The sequence below is a fragment of the Homo sapiens genome, chromosome 6 (genome assembly GCF_000001405.40).
Source record: "Homo sapiens chromosome 6, GRCh38.p14 Primary Assembly".
NCBI lineage: Eukaryota > Metazoa > Chordata > Mammalia > Primates > Hominidae > Homo > Homo sapiens.
The window spans coordinates 166157257-166175206 of NC_000006.12; the positions used below are offsets into that span (position 1 = coordinate 166157257).

At 49.9% G+C, this 17950-nt stretch overlaps 1 protein-coding gene and 1 long non-coding RNA gene across 9 annotated transcripts, besides 2 other annotated features; one reads left to right on the plus strand and one right to left on the minus strand.

Annotated features, from left to right (window-relative positions):
• Positions 400-11399, minus strand: TBXT (T-box transcription factor T). 5 transcript variants are annotated; one of them, NM_001366286.2, is made up of 9 exons: positions 11072-11399; positions 10130-10419; positions 9336-9600; positions 8450-8584; positions 7544-7605; positions 7349-7410; positions 5191-5367; positions 3581-3710; positions 400-1332 (listed from the first exon to the last, which is right to left on the minus strand). In NM_001366286.2, exons 2-9 carry the CDS (start codon positions 10333-10335, stop codon positions 1059-1061), a joined length of 1311 nt encoding a protein of 436 aa, NP_001353215.1. In that variant the 5' UTR covers positions 10336-10419; positions 11072-11399; the 3' UTR covers positions 400-1058. The 5 variants fall into 5 exon arrangements, with proteins under 5 accessions (NP_001353215.1, NP_003172.1, NP_001257413.1 ...); NM_003181.4 differs by having other exon boundaries at positions 5191-5364; positions 10130-10512; NM_001270484.2 differs by lacking the exon at positions 5191-5367.
• Positions 10737-11331: an enhancer, noted in NCBI's record as "H3K27ac-H3K4me1 hESC enhancer chr6:166581481-166582075 (GRCh37/hg19 assembly coordinates)". NCBI's record gives its function as "activates a minimal SCP1, AML or CMV promoter by ChIP-STARR-seq in naive H9 embryonic stem cells {active_cell/tissue: H9 hESC(naive)}" and the evidence as "EXISTENCE:reporter gene assay evidence [ECO:0000049][PMID:30033119]".
• On the plus strand, positions 10841-13916 carry LNCDAT (lncRNA divergent activator of TBXT). 4 transcript variants are annotated; one of them, NR_166066.1, is made up of 4 exons: positions 10841-10894; positions 11021-11447; positions 12816-12882; positions 13002-13916. It is a non-coding gene; the product is annotated as a lncRNA divergent activator of TBXT (long non-coding RNA). The 4 variants fall into 4 exon arrangements; NR_166065.1 differs by having other exon boundaries at positions 11021-11342; positions 11434-11514; positions 12816-13916; NR_166067.1 differs by having other exon boundaries at positions 11109-11342; positions 11434-11514; positions 12816-13916.
• Positions 16888-16997: a silencer, noted in NCBI's record as "silent region_17773". NCBI's record gives its function as "represses an Ori minimal core promoter by ATAC-STARR-seq in GM12878 lymphoblastoid cells {active_cell/tissue: GM12878}" and the evidence as "EXISTENCE:reporter gene assay evidence [ECO:0000049][PMID:35858748]".

Genomic DNA, 17950 nt, shown 5'->3' on the forward strand with positions numbered 1-17950 from the left:
GCCATTTTGTTCAAAGTGCTACGGTAACCACACTTTTCATTGACAAATGATAACTTTTTATCCATTTATTTTATGTACAGTACTTTAGCTTGAATAGGGTGGACAGCCCATATTCATCTTGATGACATCAGTATGTTCTAGGTTCTGTCTTTATCCACATCATCCATGATTCAATGTTGAGTAAATCTCTTAAAAATTACTTAACATCTTTTAAGTTGCTGTGGCAATTAGCACTAAGTCTATGCAAATTTCACTTCCAGTTTTGCAACTAATTAGATACAATATTAAAGTTCTTAATAGATTAAAATGCTTTTTGGGGATAAGGTCTTTACCACCAGCTACAATAAACAGTAAATACTCACAAAAGGAGGGGCTTCACTAATAACTGGACGAATCACATTTTGCATATTGCGTTTATTTTGCAGAAAATGCTTTCTGCTGATTGTCTTTGGCTACTTTGTCAAAAGAAAAATATGAAACAGTTATAGTTTAACAACACAAGAGATTAGCTACATATGCTTAAAATACACACATTCTAGGGGGCAGAGCAGTCAAATTTTCAATTCAACTAAAACCTGCTGTCCTCAACTATGATTTTATTCTGTCCTTAACAGCTCAACTCTAACTACTTGAAAGCAACAAGGAAGAAGATTAAGAGTGTGCTTTTTATCTCACTAAAGTAGGACTGGTGGAGTTTACAAATTCTGGTGTGCCAAAGTTGCCAATACACTGTATGAGAAATAAACCAAAAAAAGTTTCTGGACCCTGGCAAACATTTTTTCACCGTCAGTGAGGTTGGGCCAACTGCATCATCTCCACAGTTGGGTTCATCTGTAAGCCACCTGGGACAGCACCGCTACTGCAGGTGTGAGCAAGGGATGCTGGGGCTCTGGGGAAAGGTGCCGTGTGCTCCTCCACTGCTTTGAAAAGGAAGTTACTGAGGCTGCATTTCCTTCTTAACCTGAGACTGCCACTGGGTACCTAGTAGGTCAATCCAGTCACCACTGGCTGCCACGACAAAAAGTCACTGCATCTTTCGGGACCTGGGCCTTGCTGCTTCACATGGAAGGTGGCGACACAGGTGTCCATGAGGCTATGAGGCGGCCTTGGGCTGCGGCGTCGTACTGGCTGTCCACGATGTCTGTGGCCGCGGCCGCCCCTTCGTACAGTGGGGATCCCGAGGAAGAGGGCGCCGAGACCGGATGGGTGAGGGGTGTGTAGTGCGCGGGGGAGCCCCGGAAGAACTGGGCCCCCAGCCCGTTGGACACGGCTGCTGCCTGGGAGCCCGGGGTGACGGCGCCGTTGCTCACAGACCACAGGCTGGGGTACTGACTGCAACAGAAAGACACCAGTGAGCAGGGCCTGGGCAGGGGCTGCAGGCCAGCTAAGGATGGAAAAACACACCAGAAATCCCATTCGGAGTGACTGTGTAATATGACAGTTTTCTTCTTTCAAACAGGTCATTTTCTCCAAATTATTAAAGGACTCACAAGCACATTCTGTGATGTATAGAAGTTATTGTCGTATCTATTAATAAGAAACAAAATCATCAGGAAGATGACTGAAAAGATTATTCACATATTCAGAGCTCATGAAAGAGCGCTGTTAAGTTTCACTGCGAAAGACTCATACCAGGCCAGCCGCAGTGGGTGATGCCTGTAATCCCAGTACTTTGGGAGGCCAAGGCAGGTGGATCAGCTGATGTCAGGAGTTCAAGGCCAGCCTGACTAACATGGTGAAACCCCGTCTCTACTAAATACAAAAAATTGGCTGGGCATGGTGGCACATGCCTGTAATCCCAGCTACTTGGGAGGCTGAGGCAGGAGAATCGCTTGAACCCGGGAGGCAGATGTTGCAGTGAGCTGGGATTGCACCATTGCACTCCAGTCTGGGCAACAAGAGTGAAACTCCGTCAAACAAACACACAAAACAGAAAAGAAAGACTCAGACCAGTAGTTTTGCACTCTCATTCAGAATAAAACTTTTCAGATAGTCTCAACCAAAAGTTACTGAGGATGGGCTTAAGTACACATGTTTTTATCTAGGACACCCCACCCCCACCACCGCAGTGATTCTCACGATGAAGACCAGCCTCTCCTCAAACACTAAGCAGCAGACATTCCTTAGAGTAACTCCAGTACAGACACAATTCCCTGCACTTTGTCCTGTTCAGTACATAGGTGTGCTAGCATGGTGCCCAGCAGCAAGAAAAGCACCTGGCAGTCAGACTAGGAAGCCATTCCCAGTTCCGCCTTTACCTAGCTGTGTCACATTACACTTTGCCTGAGACTACTTATAGGCTGTGTTTCTCAAGGCATAAAATGAGGAAGGTGGAAATGACTATTGAATTCTCCAGTCTAAGCACATGGAAGTGGATAGCATTCAATTATGGTAAGATTTTATTTTGGGAAATAACCTTGTCTTTCTACAAGTGAATAATGAGACCTTATGTTGTATCACCATACTGTTTTAAACAAGTCTGAGTTAATCAAGGCAGATTTTTATGCCATTTTACAAATGAAAGCTTCAGGTTCTAAGATGCCCAATTAGAGCCACACTGAGACCCTCGGGTGGGGCCTCTGTCAACAGCTTGCAGTGTGCGGGTCATCTGATCGGGTGCAGGCTTCTGGGGCGATGCTCTTGGAGCCCCTGAAAGCTTCGCTTGTTTACGCATTGTTGCTCTGTTTCTAACCGCGGGCAATTGAATTCTTATTATGAAGGAACTGTTTTCTAGACAAGAATTAAGATCGCAGGCATATTTTGGTATTCTAGAAAATGAAGTGCATTGCCTTTGAGGTCAAGATCACTTAATTCCAGGCTCACTCTGCTGTGAGCTGGTCCAATCATTTAATATCTCTGGCCCTCCTTCCTCCCTAGAAAGTGAGGGTTGACTTCTAGCTTTGGTATTTTAGGTTTTTATATTCATCCTATGAAGAAATGTAAGACATTTACCAGCCTGCTTAATTTGTAAGCCTTTTTCCCTCTGCATAACTTGCAAGTTGGTAACAAAATAGTCATCATTGTTTACCAGTTACCTAGCACATATATTAAAGACTTCGAGCCTGTATCCATAGAAAAGCCAATAAACTCATTTCCTTCATTTACTAGCTTTTGTTGGAAAAGGTTCCGAAACGATCTCTTTAAGCTCTACCTACTGACCCCAACAACCCTGTAGGAGACAGGCCGAGGCTGGGTTATTTTTTTACCACCTTCCTTTTATATGTGAGGAAACTGAGGCCCAGAGAGGCTAAAAGACTTGTCCATCACGTGAACCAGTAAGTGGCAGAACCAGGATGGGGACCCTGGTTTCATTCAGGGATGGGATAGCGCAGCTCCCATTCCACACCTGGGTTGTAAAGGAGCCCAGTCCTTCCAGCGAACAGACTGCAAACAGGAACTCGGCAGTCATGTCACCTGCAATCCCTGGGCATAGCTGGCTAATAAAGAATTCTAAATAAAGACCCAACCACCCACAGGGACCAAGGAGAATAAGGACTAAGGGCCTATGGGAATGGAAACAGCGTGAAGTCACAGGCAGAGCTCCCAGGATGCTTTGCACCAGGTCCTGGACATACATTACCTGGAGCTGGTAGGTGGGCTGGCATTGTGGCTCACGGGGAGCATGCTGGGATGGGCAGGCATTCCAAGGCTGGACCAATTGTCATGGGATTGCAGCATGGATAAACATGCAGGTGAGTTGTCAGAATAGGCTAAGGGGGGAAGGTAACAAAGTGCAATTATAGATGGTGTCTTCCAAGAACAACAAAGTACAGTGAAATACCACCAATAACTGAAGCTACGTAACACTGAAAACAAAATGTACATGGGATATTAACTGTAGAAAACAATCCATTAGTCTATTTACATGGTTATCAGGGGCAAGATTTATTGCCAAATATATGTATTTGAAAACATACCCTGGTAAACCCAAGCTTTTTCCCTTATCATCATTATCAGTAGATGCCCTGTAGACATTGAATCTTACTTACAATCACTGACTTGGAATTACTTATCTTTAAAAATAAATATAACTTTACCCTGCCTTTTTACCAGTGATTACTTCATAAGAATGGGCGATAGAAACCATTACTCCAGGCAAAATTAGAAATAAGATCTTCCTGCCTCAGAGTCTAGCCTCTGGTTGAACAAGTCCCAGTGACTTCCTAACCCAATAAGGTCCTTTCATTTCAAATCAGCTTTAATTGCTTAATTGTTTTATGGTATTCTTTAGCTATTTTCCTTCTTTTGGAGCCAGACAAAATTAAGTCTAGACATATACAGTGTTATAGAGAGAATTAGGCCAGGGGATCTTTATGGTCTATCCCAGTGTTCCTAATATTGGAGCATGCATCGGAATGGCCTGGAAGGCTTTTAAAAGCACACTGGCCAGGCGTGGTGGCTCACGCCTGTAATCCCAGCACTTTGGGAGGCCGAGGCGGGTGGATCACGAGGTCAGAAGATCGAGACCATCCTGGCTAACACGGTGAAACCCCGTCTCTACTAAAAATACAAAAAAATTAGCCAGGCCTGGTGGCAGGCACCTGTAGTCCCAGCTCCTTGGGAGGCTGAGGCAGGAGAATGGCGTGAACCCGAGAGGCGGAGCTTGCAGTGAGCCGAGATCGTGCGACTGCACTCCAGCCTGGGCGACAGAGCGAGACTCCGTCTCAAAAAAAAGCACACATTGCCGGGCCCCACCAAGAGCTGCTGCCTGTCAGTCTGGGGTGGGGCCTGAGACTGTGCCCACTCTCGGGTGGTGCTGAGGCTCTGGCCTGGGCACCGTATTTGGAGAATCACTGGTGTAGTCAGGAATTCTTGAGCCTGGCTGCCCATCATTGTCACTTTAGAGAGGTTCATAGAAGACTCAAACCTGGGCTCTCCTCCTAAGGATCGACCATGGTTCTGTGGAGAGGCCCAGGAATCTGTCATTTTCAAAACCTGGAGCAGCAGCTCTGAGGCCTGTGCAAGGATGCAAGCCTCTGATCTGGGTGTCCGTGGTTGTTCCGCCAGCAGCGGCAGTGGCGGAGACATAAATTGAAGATCTTCTCTTGAGCTACTAAAAAACTGGGCTTGGGTATGTGTTCCAGAAAACCGTCTCCATTTTTTTAGATTCTAGACTCCTGCAGAATGCCTTTCCCAAAGTGGTCTTGCAGCCACCCACCAACCCCTGGCAGAATGAGGCTGAGGACTCACTTGGAGAATTGTTCCGATGAGCATAGGGGCTGGGGTAGGGTGAGGACCGGTGGCTCCTCAGGGTTGGGTACCTGTCACAGCTGTGCGTGGAGGGGAGGGAGAGGGCACCTCCAAACTGAGGATGAGGATTTGCAGGTGGACACAGGGTGCTGGTTCCAGGAAGAAGCCACCCCCCTGCTGTGAGAAAAGACAGTGCTGAGTAACCTGCATTAGTGCTCCCTCCATCTCTCCAGAGAGCAGAGCCCAGGCCAGGGACTGTCCCTCCATCACTCCAGAGAGCAGAGCCCAGGCCAGGGACTCTCCCTCCATCACTCCAGAGAGCAGAGCCCAGGCCAGGGACTCTCCCTCCATCACTCCAGAGAGCAGAGCCCAGGCCAGGGACTGTCCCTCCATCACTCCAGAGAGCAGAGCCCAGGCCAGTGACTTCCCACCTTCCCCTCAGGGGCCCCTGATGGGGGAAGCACCCTGAGTGTCTCATACTTAGGACACAGTCTGCCTCACAAGACATCTGAGGCCATCAGCCCCACACTCACTACCACAGGTAACCCAAGGCTTCCAATCCTGTGTGTACCTGAGTAAACCCAGGAGCCTGGCCTCAGGCAACCTAAGCTGTTTCCTCCTGAGAATCCTCTGGATTGCTTTGAGATCTACTATTCCCCAAGGCAGGTGAGCTTTCCTCCACTGAGCATGAATACAATGTAACCACAGGCAGAGAGCAGGTGAGAGATGCTGAGAGAGGTGGGGTGGTGCTTAGACAAGGGTGCCCTCCCCTTCTCCTCCTGCCACCCACAGAGACGGGAGGTGCCTTCCTAGCTGGGGGTAGACCCTTTTACTGCTCACTCTCCTGGTTTAAGCTCCCCCCATTCTCCCCAGGAGAATCAGAAAGTTCTTCCAAGACTCCCCTTCCTTCCTCTAAAACTACAATTTCTTGTCCACTCATTTTTTTCTCCTCTGAGACTGGGAGTTTCATTCTGTCACCCAGGCTGGAGTGCAGTGGTGTGATCTTGGCTTATTGCAATCTCCGCCTCTCAGGTTCAAGGGATTCTCATGCCTCAGCCTCCCAAGTAGCTGGGATTACAGGCGCCCACCATCATGCCTGACAATTTTTGTATTTTTAGTAGAGATGAGGTTTCACCATATTGGCCAGGCTGGTCTCTAACTCCCTGATCTCAAATGATCCATCCAACTTGGCCTCCCAAAGTGTTGGGATTACAGGCGTGAGCCACCGTGCCCGTCCTCTTCTACACTCTTCAAGCTTTGTTGTTTTGATTGAGAAAAAGCAACCCCTAGCGGGACAACTACTGTGGCTTCAATTTCCAAACTACTAACAATTCTCCAGGCAGCACTGGAAGGAAGGGTGCAGACGTGCCCTGGCTGCCCAGCCGGCCCTGGCCAGAGCAGTGGCTCACTCTACTCAAGTGACTGCCTTTCTGGTTGTTCAATCAGCCTAGGAAATGATGAAAAATCTACAGAATAGAAAATGCCTGTGTAAGGAGGAGTGTGCCCTGTTGATTCATCCAGCCTCTTGACCAGCCAGTGCTACCGCGTTCATTGTTTAATATCTCCAAGTCCCTTCCCCGGGTGGAGAGGACGGACCAGGATGAGAGAGAGCGTTTCTCCCAACAAATGCTGCCGTATAATCCTCTATCCTGCACTCTGACTCCTGAAAGTCCTAGAGGGAGCTAGACTTAAATCCAACTCTCTCATCCTCAGAGCCACAGGAGCTGGTGAGACATTCCTAGAACCAAAGGGCTAAGGAAAAATTTGGTTCCTAAGCATCATTGGAAAGATGGCTCTTCAACCATTAATGAAAGCCTCAAAGAGGAGGTAATGAGCTAGATTCTCCTGTTGCCTACCTAATACAGGAGAGTCCAAACACCCAGCTAGGTCTCAATGATCCACCCCAGGCATGGTGGCAGCTGCCTCACGGCAAAACAAAAGCACCCAGGAGAGTATCCACAGCCCCGATTAGAGCAGAGGTTAGATGGGCAACACAGCTTCAACATCACAGGGCCAAGAGCCTCGCATGGCAAAAAGGCAATCTTACATCCCAGGCACACCCAGAAACACCCTTGTCTTCTCCATCTCCACTTCCCAGCTCTCAGCAAGTCTAGTCCCGATGACGCAGAATGACATGACAGAGTGCAACAAACCGTACATTGGGAGTACCCAGGTTGCTGGCTGTCTCCGGGTTCCTCCATCATCTCTTTGTGATCACTTCTATCAAAATGAAAAAAAAAAAGTATATCGAATTTTCAAAAATAAGGAAATTCAGAAAAGAGTATGTGCAGCAATATTTCATCTTTCTGCATACTTCTTTGCCCAAGGGTATTTATAGTTAGAATTCTCTCACCTTTCCTTTGCATCAAGGAAAGCTTTTGCAAATGGATTGTACTTAATTTTAAGAGCTGTGATCTGAAAAACAAGAAATTGCATTTACTAGTATATTCCCTATTAGCCAGGGGATTTAATTTGGCACCAAGAAATTGAGAAATGCCAGTACCACTTTTAAATATTCAAATATAATCAGACTTCTTTCCACATACAGTTTTCTATTTGGAACTGAAAATAGCTGAGTAATTGTACAGAGTAGCATGCTTATGAAAAATTTTCAATGTCAATGTTCTGAGTGGGATTCACAATAAATTTAACCTACTACTAACAATGTTCCATGTGTATAAATCAGAAATGGCTGAAAACACAGTCTGGGGCTGCTTAGGAAATAGAGACCTGGAAGTTCTAGTTTTCGGTCAACGTCAACACCAACAAGGTATCCAACTAATGTCGAATTTGCAGTACTTTGGGGTTGGGCTTAGGCATAGATTTACAGGCACCTATGCAGTAGCTTGTATCTAGTTGAGTCTTCACACTGCAGAGATTTGAGGGGTTGCCCCCCCACCCTTTGGGGAAGATTTCCAAGGAAGGACATGCCCCTCTCTCACTCAAGTCTTGTTCTCAAGAAATTCTCACACCATTTAACCTGAATGCTTTTTGGATCTTTTCATTTTGAGCATTGAGAAGTTGTTTCTAGTTTTAAACACTTGTATGGAGAATTCAAGGGGAAAATGTTTGAATGGGGACTTAATTTAAACAGTTCTCTCCTGTGCTTCCATTTCAAGTTCCGGAATATTATTTGAAAGGGCAGGAAGCCTTCCTCTCAGTGCGGGTTAGCGCGTCTCCCCGCTCCTCCAGAATCTCCACGGAGCAGCACACCACACCGCAGCACACCGGGAAAGCGATCCGCCTCTGTCCTTCTCACCTCCTCGTTCTGATAAGCAGTCACCGCTATGAACTGGGTCTCAGGGAAGCAGTGGCTGGTGATCATGCGCTGTGGACCCCCAACTCTCACTATGTGGATTCGAGGCTCATACTTATGCAAGGAGTTCAGCATGATCTGAGGGAGACAGATACAGGATTGGTGGCACTGAAAGGCCTGCGTTAAAACAGCAAAACATCCATTTCTCCAGGATGCAGAAAGTCCTCTGGATCCCAAGAAAGTGTCTCTGCTGTTGAGGGAAGTGGGGTTCCACCAGGGGAGGCTTCTCCGCGGTTTATATGTGCTATTCCCACAGCTTGTTTGGAAAAGGGATGTGAGATGCTACACACCATTAAAAGCAATGAATGCTCATCACAAAATCCTTTCACCTGGTGGAATAAAGTACTAAGGCTTTCAGGAAGGCTATGGTCATTTTTAAAAGACTGAGCTTGTTTGCAACTTGCCTAACCTGGGGTCTTCCAGGAACAATCCCCGACTAAAGAATGTTCTTTAGAAAAGCACGACTTTACAAGTTTGTTCCGACTCCACGCAGTAAGTACTGTGGCGCATGTTTAAATTTAAATGCGACTTTGCCATCAAGGCTGATATCTTTTCCACCCCCAGGAGAGTTTAGGGCTAGACAACGGAAGTTCCCCAAAAGCTCCAGTCCTTCAAAGGGGAGTGCTCCCGCTCCCCGTTCGCCAGGCGTGGATGTTATCAGCTTAGTATAAACAGCGCTAAAGGCCTTATTAGAGAAGGCTGTGGCAGTTTCTCCAGGGCAGACGTCGCCTCCCGTTCAAGCAGCGTCCCTTCCCACAACCCCCGTGCAGAAGGCGCAGCGCGGCCCCCTCCTCGCTGGTCCCAGACCTGGCGGGCTCCTCACACCTACCTGGCCCCCTCCGTTGAGCTTGTTGGTGAGCTTGACTTTGCTGAAGGAGACGGGAGCCTTCATCCAGTGGGCCCCGAAGTTGGGCGAGTCGGGGTGGATGTAGACGCAGCTGGGCGCCTGCGGCTCCGGCTTGCCCCCCGGCACCCATTCCCCGTTCACGTACTTCCAGCGGTGGTTGTCCGCCGCCACGAAGTCCAGCAGGAAGGAGTACATGGCGTTGGGGTCCAGGCCAGACACGTTCACCTTCAGCACCGGAAACATCCTCCTGGAAAACACGGGGCGGGCGCAGGAGGACCCCGACACTGACCAGGTAGGCCGGAGGCAGAAGCTGGGCACAGAGGCCTCAGTTATTTCGGGGCACAGAGGAGCCCCCTGGGGAACGTCCGAGGGTGACTCCCAAGCTCCCCCTTCCCCGAGCCCTGCCAGGTCCAGGTGGCCTCCTCACCATCTCCACGGCCTCGGGAGGGAGGGGAGGAGAGGACCTGGCGAAGGGTTTCAGTGCAGGAGGCCACATCCCGCGGGGACAGGCGGGGACCAGGGCGCGCCTCGCGGGTCCCGGGATGCCTCCGAGGTCGGGACACCGAAGTGCGCGTTCCTCCTCCCCAAGCTTCCGCGGAGAAAGCCCCAGAAGAGGGGCTTGTAGAAATGCACTCGAGGGAGTTAACCAGAGCGGGAACAAACACAAAGCCCTCCTCCAGGAGAAAAAGGGTTCGACCTCCGGGAACTTGCCAGGTCCCCCAGGCTGCCCAGGCGCTGGAGAGCGCGGCGCGCGCGGGCTCCGGACGCGCACCCACCTGCCGTTCTTGGTCACGATCATCTCATTGGTGAGCTCCTTGAAGCGCAGCCACAGCTCGCTCTCCTCCAGGCCCACGCGCAGTTCGCGCTCTGTGGGGTCGCCCTTCTCGCTGCCCGCCTGCAGCTCATTCTCCACGGCGCTCAGCAGGTGGTCCACTCGGTACTGCAGGCTCTTTCCCGCGCTCTCGGTGCCAGGGGAGCTCATCCTCCCGTCCGGCTCCCCTCCCCGCCGTCCCCGAAGCCCAGACTCGCTACCTGAGATCCACCTTCCCTGCTCTTGGCCGCCGCCCTTCCGAGAAAAGGGGCCCCTTGGACCGAGACCTGCGACGGCTCCCGGGTCCCGGGTCCCGGCACAGACCCGGGAGGAGGGCGCGGACCAAGACTTGGGGGGAGGGGACGGGGGCAGAGGGGTGGGGAGAAGTTATTCCACTTGAACTCCCCAAGGCTCTACTAGTGTAGGTCTCTGGGGACCGAAATTCAGTGCCCTCCCCATAAATAGAGCCGCGGCGGCAGCGCTGGGGTGCTCGGCGGATTGGGCCGCGCACGCTTTGAAGTGCCGGGCAGCCTCCCATTGGCCGAGAGCGGCCATATCAGACCCAGCCGGGCGGGTCTGGGAGGCCGGGGGCCAACAATGGGCTCCCGCACGCCTGTTTCATGTAAATCCGGGGCCCCAGCCCTGCGAGCCCCGGCCCAGCCCCTACACCCCCGCCCTTCTCCAAATGTTTGCACCTCCATCAAAGCGGCGGGGCAAGCCCCGGAGGAAGGTAAGCTGGACGCCCCGGCCTGCCCCAGCCCGCCCCAGCCCGCCCCAGCCCGCACTTCCGCGAGGGGCTGCCCGGCAGCCTGCGATGCTCCCTGATTCCCGCGCGGGGTCCTCCTCGCTTTCCCAGCGCGCCCGGATCCCGCAGCCGCGCCAGGCTGGAACGTTCGCGCGGCCTCACCTGTCCCCGCTCCAGGCGCGCCTCCCTCCCCTCCCAGGGACGAGCGCATTTGGCCGGGCTTTGGGATGCGCCGCGCTCGTCTCGCCGCAGTAGTAGTGCTGTTCTCGCGCCTCCGATGCCTCAACTCTCCAGTCTGGCAGTTTCCGGTGCACCTGTCCCCACACGTCCCTCGCCCACGGAGCCCCAGGCGGCGTTACGCACACCCAGGATCGTGGATCAGCCTGCCCCGGCGTCGGGTGTCCCCGCGGCTCTCACCATCTGGAAAAGGAAGGTCCGCGCGCAGAGAGGGAAATGGACGGAAATAAGCAAAAGCAAAACAACCCCTTCTGAGAAGTGTCCTCCTCGCTCTCTTATAAAAACAGGACTTGTTGCCGAGGTCAGCGCGCGCATCGAGTGTGCCAGGCGTGTGCGTGGTTTCTGCTGTGTCATTGCTTTCACGGAAGGTGGGAGAAGGTCGGGGCTGGCGGGGTGGTCCGGACTAGTGGGACTCGGGGCGCTTTCCCCGCCCGGCCCAGCGCCAAGCGGTGTCGGCAGCGGTTGTTTTATTACCTTTCGGTGAGAACTTACGCGAGGAGAGCGAAGGAGAGGTGACAATGAGCAGGAAATAGTTCAGTGGGGTCTCTTTAAACAGTAACATTCCTCCTAAAACGGGAGCCCAGGAAGGGGGAAGGAGGCAGAAGCTCCCCCTTCCAAGGCCTGGCTTTGCGCTTCTGCACACCTCGCCCATTCGCTGGACGAGGGCCTGCCTCGGGTAGCAGCCTCTGTTTCCCGGTCTCCTGAGCGGGCACCCCAGCCCCAACCCCTCTAGAGAAAGCCTGCGCATCGGGTGGGGCAGCGAGTTCAGAGGAGTCTTGCGCCCTAGCAAGGGGGCTTTCCCGCGGACATGGTATCTGCGCCCCGCGCTAAGTCTCCCCTGCCCCCTGCCCCCTGCCCCTCGCCCCTCGCCCAGCCGGGCTCGCTCCGGGGTCGGGAATTGCTGGGGAAGCCGAAGGAGGGATCCCCGCCCGGGACTCGAGGGATCGACCCGCCTCGCGGTATGCGGAGGGCTGCCAGGAGCCAGTCCCGGGGAAGGGTGCCTGCCGCCCGTGGGGGACAGGGCTCCTTCTCTCCCTTCTCCAACTTACACCGACGAGTCAGGAAGCCGGAGCGTCTAGTCCCTGTCCGCATTTCTCAGTGTCTTTTGATGTCTGGGATGCATGGATATTCCCAGGGGGCTGACCCGAGGTGGGGAAGTTTCCTTCTAGAAAGAGGCACCAAAAGGACCTCATTTGCTCCTGACGCCGGACCCTCCTGACACGCCTTCACTGGCTCATCGGGTCCTGGGCTTTGGGGGAGAGCGTGGTGCGTGTTACTCTCCTTACTCCGGGTATTAAAATGTCTAAGAGGTCATCGCTTTGGCCCAAGGCCTCCCGAGGATAAGATAAAAGGGAAAAGTGGAGGGGAGGTGAAGGAGGAACGAGGGTGGGTCCCAGGCAATTGAGGGCCTCGGAACCCTAGGCACGGGAGCGAAACCTCTCCTGCGGCTTCAGGGCAAAGGAGTCCCGAAGGCTGGATCCCTCCCCTGCGCTCGGACGGCGTCGCGGCCGCTTTTCCCACAGTCGGGAAGCGCCAAAGAAGACTGGAGGGTTTAACAGATCGCTCTAAAACTGTTCCGAACAGGAGGGGCACGGCCAAATAAGAATACAACTTCAGCAGGAAAGAATATTCCGTTTCTAACACGCGTAATAAAATTTCTACTCTCCAGAGAGAATGTCTGAAGCATTGAAGAGTACGACCCAGGAATTGAACCACCCAAGTCGGAGGAGGTAGAGGTTGGAAGTCACCGACTTTGGCCAGCACTTGTGTAGTGTCACCTGTCTTCACTTTCTAACGTTTATTTTTCCTCCCCTTTCTGTGGCTGATTTTCTGATCTTTGTTCCTCGGTTCCCAGGACCAGGCCCACTCCCTCCGCCTTTTCAGCGAAGGCTGCAGTGCATGACAGTTTACAGCCAAAACTTCCTCCAGCCCGGCTATAAAGAATTCCCAGTTAATAACAATGCGCTTCCTTGGGAGGAAAGAGGGGCTGAGGCACCGCCAGCTGTTTCGCTCCCAGGGTCTATCTCTCCTTGGCAAGCCCAGCCATTCAGAGAAAAACAAGACAAAGCCTTATGGCTGGGCCTCAGGATGCAACTGTCCCACCGAAAACATGCTTGAAACATTTTATAAGAAAACACACACACACACCCCACTCGACTCCCAGAGAGGCAGTTTTCCTGGGCCCAATCCCTTCTGAAAAAGCAAAGCCATTTATCTTTAGAAGCAGGCAACAATGAAGCTGTAACAGGCTCAAGGAGGGGTGGAGGACAGCCTCGCGTGACTCTTACCCCACACTCTAGTCCCTCTCTTTCTGCAAGAAAAACAAATGAATTTCTTTTCTGATTATATATGTACTCCTTGTAGAAATATTATATATGTATCTGTCTTCATATATATGTAAAACAGTCACCCACAGTATCTGTGGGGGATTGGTTCCAGGACCTACAAAGATGGCAGAATCCAGGGATGCCCTAGTCCCTTGGCATGGTATTTGCATATAACCTATGGACTTCCTCCATGAACTATAAATCACTTCTGGATTACTTATAATACCTAATACAATGTAACACTATGCAAATAGTAGTTATACTGTATTGCTTTTTATTTGTATAATTTTTATTCTTTCATTATTGGGGAGAGGGAGTTTGGAATGTTTTCTATCAATTCAACCAACCACGGATATGGAACCTGTGGCTATGGAGGGCTGGCTGTATGTTTATCTCTCTCTATGTATATAAATGCTAACCTCAAGCACTAAGCAATGTTCATATTTTGGGGTGTTCCTCGTCTTTTTTTCATTTTGTTCTTCTCATGAGCTCCTTCTCCCACACTGACTAAGCGGACTGATCGCAAACAGTCACAAGTTCTACATTAGAGATGACAGCCATGTTTCATGGCCAATAATTCTGCCACCAATTGGTTTATTTGTCTCTCCCATTAAAAGAAACCCAATGGCTTTTGTTATTGCTTTAAAAGGTGTGTAACGTAATTCTTTAGACTCTTTACCATTGAAAAATTTTTAAAGCCCATTGGGTTGTTTGAGGTGGTTGTGGTTTTGTGGGAAAGAACAGAGACTTGGTTTTTTAAAGTCTTCCTCTCAGGACAAGGATCCCACCCTGTGCACAGCCGGCCCCTCCCTGCTGCTCTAGGGAGAAGGCTTCGTGATGTGCTCCCTGATCTGCAGGGAAGCTGTGGCCATGTGGGGTGGACGCAGGGACTACCGTCAGCCTCAGGCTGCGTCTCAAAACCTGATCCCATCCAAGCTATTTTTTTGGAGTCAGTGGGCTTCGTCACACATGACAGTGTGTGGTTGTTTTAGTGACAGGAGTTCACAGATTAACAACAAACCAACCTGCCCAGTTGAATGTTTGGGAATGTGACAATCCCAAACCTTTCTCCTTAAAACTCTAGTGCTTCAGCTCCTATCTCTTTGGAATTCAAGTTTCCAGAGGAGAAATCGGGCTGCTGGATTTTGATCTCTTCCTCGGTAGAGAAGGGTAGCTTGAGTTTTTCTGCCCAGATACTTAATTTTTTCAATGCCTTGTGGATGATAAGTTTCTTGGCGATAGTTTCAGTGGGAATCTGCTGATTTTGCTTGGCATGCAGGGAAAGCCCTTTCCAACTCAACAAGTCTCTTTAGTTCTGATTGGTATGATGGTGAGTACTGTTTCCACTTCAGGGGTTATCTGTACTTCCAAATCTGAGGATCCTTGCCTAGTCTCCCGCCTCCTCCCCCTGTGTTGTTTCAGCTCTTAGATCTTTCTGCATATATTAAATGGCTTGTGAAATGTTTTTTCCACACCACTCTGTCAATTTCCCTCCATGTCACTTTTGGTTTTTACTGCCTCCAATGCAGATTTTATTTCTCTGTTGTAGCTCAGTTTTCTGGTAATCCTTATTTCCTCCACGTCCCTTGTCGTCTTATTCCATGGCCTTCTAGAGCAGCCTTTTTGCTCCTTAATGTCCTGTTTCTGCTTCTTAGAGGCCACAGTTCTCTGCATCTTCTGGTGCTTATGGTTTATTTTTTCCCAAGGCTGCTTTTCCTCTGTGTCTTCTGAATAATCGCTCTCCCTGCTTCCCTTTCAGCCTTTTCTGGGAGTCTCCACGGCCTTTTCTTTTCCTTCCTCCCCCTCTTACATAGGGGTGACTGCCCAGCATGCCTTCTGCAGGGCTGCACTCTCAGGGGCCCTGGATGGATGCCCCTTTCATAGCCACCTTGGGAAGACAGAGGTGTGGGGCCTGCCTTATTCAGGGTGAAACCAGCCCTTGACTGGTGGCAGGGACTCAGCAGGCCTTTGCTGAGTGGCTGCGTTGGCAACACGGAAATGCAGTAGCATGTCTATCTAAGAAACAGCAGTAGCACTGTCCTCAGATCCACTGGACATATGCTGCTGAGCACTTTCATCATGAACAAAACATCAATCCTTCACATTTACTAAAATGCAGGATGCTTCTGAAACTCCAAGGGCCCTTCTCTAGTAACCCGCTCATTGATTCAAATAGTCAGGTGTTTTGGAGAGAGTAAAGGAAGGGTTTCCTGTGAAAATTGTGTATTAAATGAGACCTTAAGAATTACTACAAGTGAGCTATTCCAAGGGAGGCTTGAAGATGCGGGGGCAGGAACATGCTTGCAGGCTGAAAATGACTCCAGTAATCATGACTGGGGACCCCCACGCAATCGTTTAATTCATATTTATATACCTGTTTATGTCATACTACTGGAAATGTTCTTTCTCCCTCCTCTACAACTAATTTTGAAAAATCCTATTTTGGCCCTGAATAAAATATCTGGCAGAAAAGAATGTTGGAAATAAATGCGGGTAGACGTACACACACACATACTCTGGCTGGACCAGCTCCAACTTCCATAATCACCATTTAGCAGGAAAGGTTGACATGATGTCCCTAATCAGAACATGCTGTGATCACTGTTTTGAAGGGATCCGCAGGGCAGGCAGGCTCTGAGCTCTGCACCAGGGCCTGACACTTGCCTGAGGAAGCAGGGGTGGGAGAAACCAGCAGGAGCTCCCCAGAGGCCGCTGGGGAGAGGAGAGGGGTGGGGCTTGGCACCAGAGAGTCCAGGGAGGTAGCGCTTCCTGTTGAAGAACAAGGGTACTCAGGAAGGCAGAGTGGCGCTGCAGGACCTACAGAGCCCCTGGGCACATGAGGAAAGAGAGCCTACGAGGTTTATAAAGTGTCCGAATATGGAGCAAACTTGAGATCAATAAACTGAGAGAAAAACAGTCTAATCTGAATGACAGTGGAGACTCAAAAGTCACAATCGCCTATTTAATAAGAACAAGTGAGATGTCACGGCAGGAGGGGTGAAGCCTGGCAGGAAATGTTAGGTGAGACCAAGTGCTGAGTATGTGGTGAGGGAACATAAACTAGGAGGAGATGAGATCAAACAGGGGCGGAAATGGATGGGATTGCAATACCCTCAAGGGAACAGGCAGGAAGAACTCCAGAAGAGACTTGCAATAATTCTGGAAATGGAGCACTTTAGAGGGTTCCTATAGAAATTCCCATCAATATTGTAGGCAAAGACAATGAACCAAAAAAAAGTGATTGAATTATAAGAATACTTTGAAAGGACTATTGAAGGCTAGTGGAAAAAACGGAAGACAAGAGCAGAACAGAGCTGAAATCTGCAGAAGGACTTAATGGCGGGAGAGAGGGGAGGAGGCTGCAGCCTGGAGGTAATGGGAGGACCAGGGTGAGAGAGAGAAGCCCAAAGGGAAGCTAGGGCTGAGGCTGCCATGGGGGCGGGGAGTAAAGGGCTGTACTCCCTACAGATCAAGTACCAGACTGATAGTAAAAATGAGACAAAGGGGAAGGACTTAGCACACCTGTGAGAACAGATTCAGAATCAGTGGTTCCCACCACAGGGACTTCGGCTGAAAAGACACCTCAGAGGAGAAAAGCCCATTTGGAAATTAGAATTAGCACATTCTACGACCGATAGTCACAGCTCCAAGGTGACAAGCTGTCCCAGCCCCAGAACCCTAAAAGGAGCTGACATTCATTGGCGCCTATTACGTGCGAGGAATTGTGCATACATTATCATTTAGGCATTGATGGGAGATAGTATTCCCTCTTGTATATACAAGGCAACTCAGAGAAAAGAGTAAAAAAAATGGAGTGGCATTTTGATTTCTGATTTGTCTCATTAAATGCAGGTTATTTCCACTAGACTAAGTTAAATATGTGAGAAGTAGAAGCAAAGTATGTGAAAAGTAGAAACAAGTTTTTTTCTCTCTTTCACCCACCATATTCATACAACCACATATGAAAGGAATCTGGTGTGCTTGCACTCAAGTGTGAGTGTTTAGAAAAGGGAGGTGGTGGGGAAACTAGTTGAGTTTAACTACTTTTGAGATCTAAAAAAAAGTTTAGCAACCCCATCAAAAAGTGGGCAAAGGACATGAACAGACACTTCTCAAAAGAAGACATTTATGCAGCCAAAAAACACATGAAAAAATGTTCACCATCACTGGCCATCAGAGAAATGCAAATCAAAACCACAGTGAGATACCATCTCACACCAGTTAGAATGGCAATCATTAAAAAGTCAGGAAACAACAGGTGCTAGAGAGGATGTGGAGAAATAGGAACACTGTTACACTGTTGGTGGGACTGTAAACTAGTTCAACCATTGTGGAAGTCAGTGTGGCAATTCCTCAGGTATCTAGAACTAGAAATATCATTTGACCCAGCCATCCCATTACTGGGTATATACCCAAAGGACTATAAATCATGCTGCTATAAAGACACATGCACACGTATGTTTATTGTGGCACTATT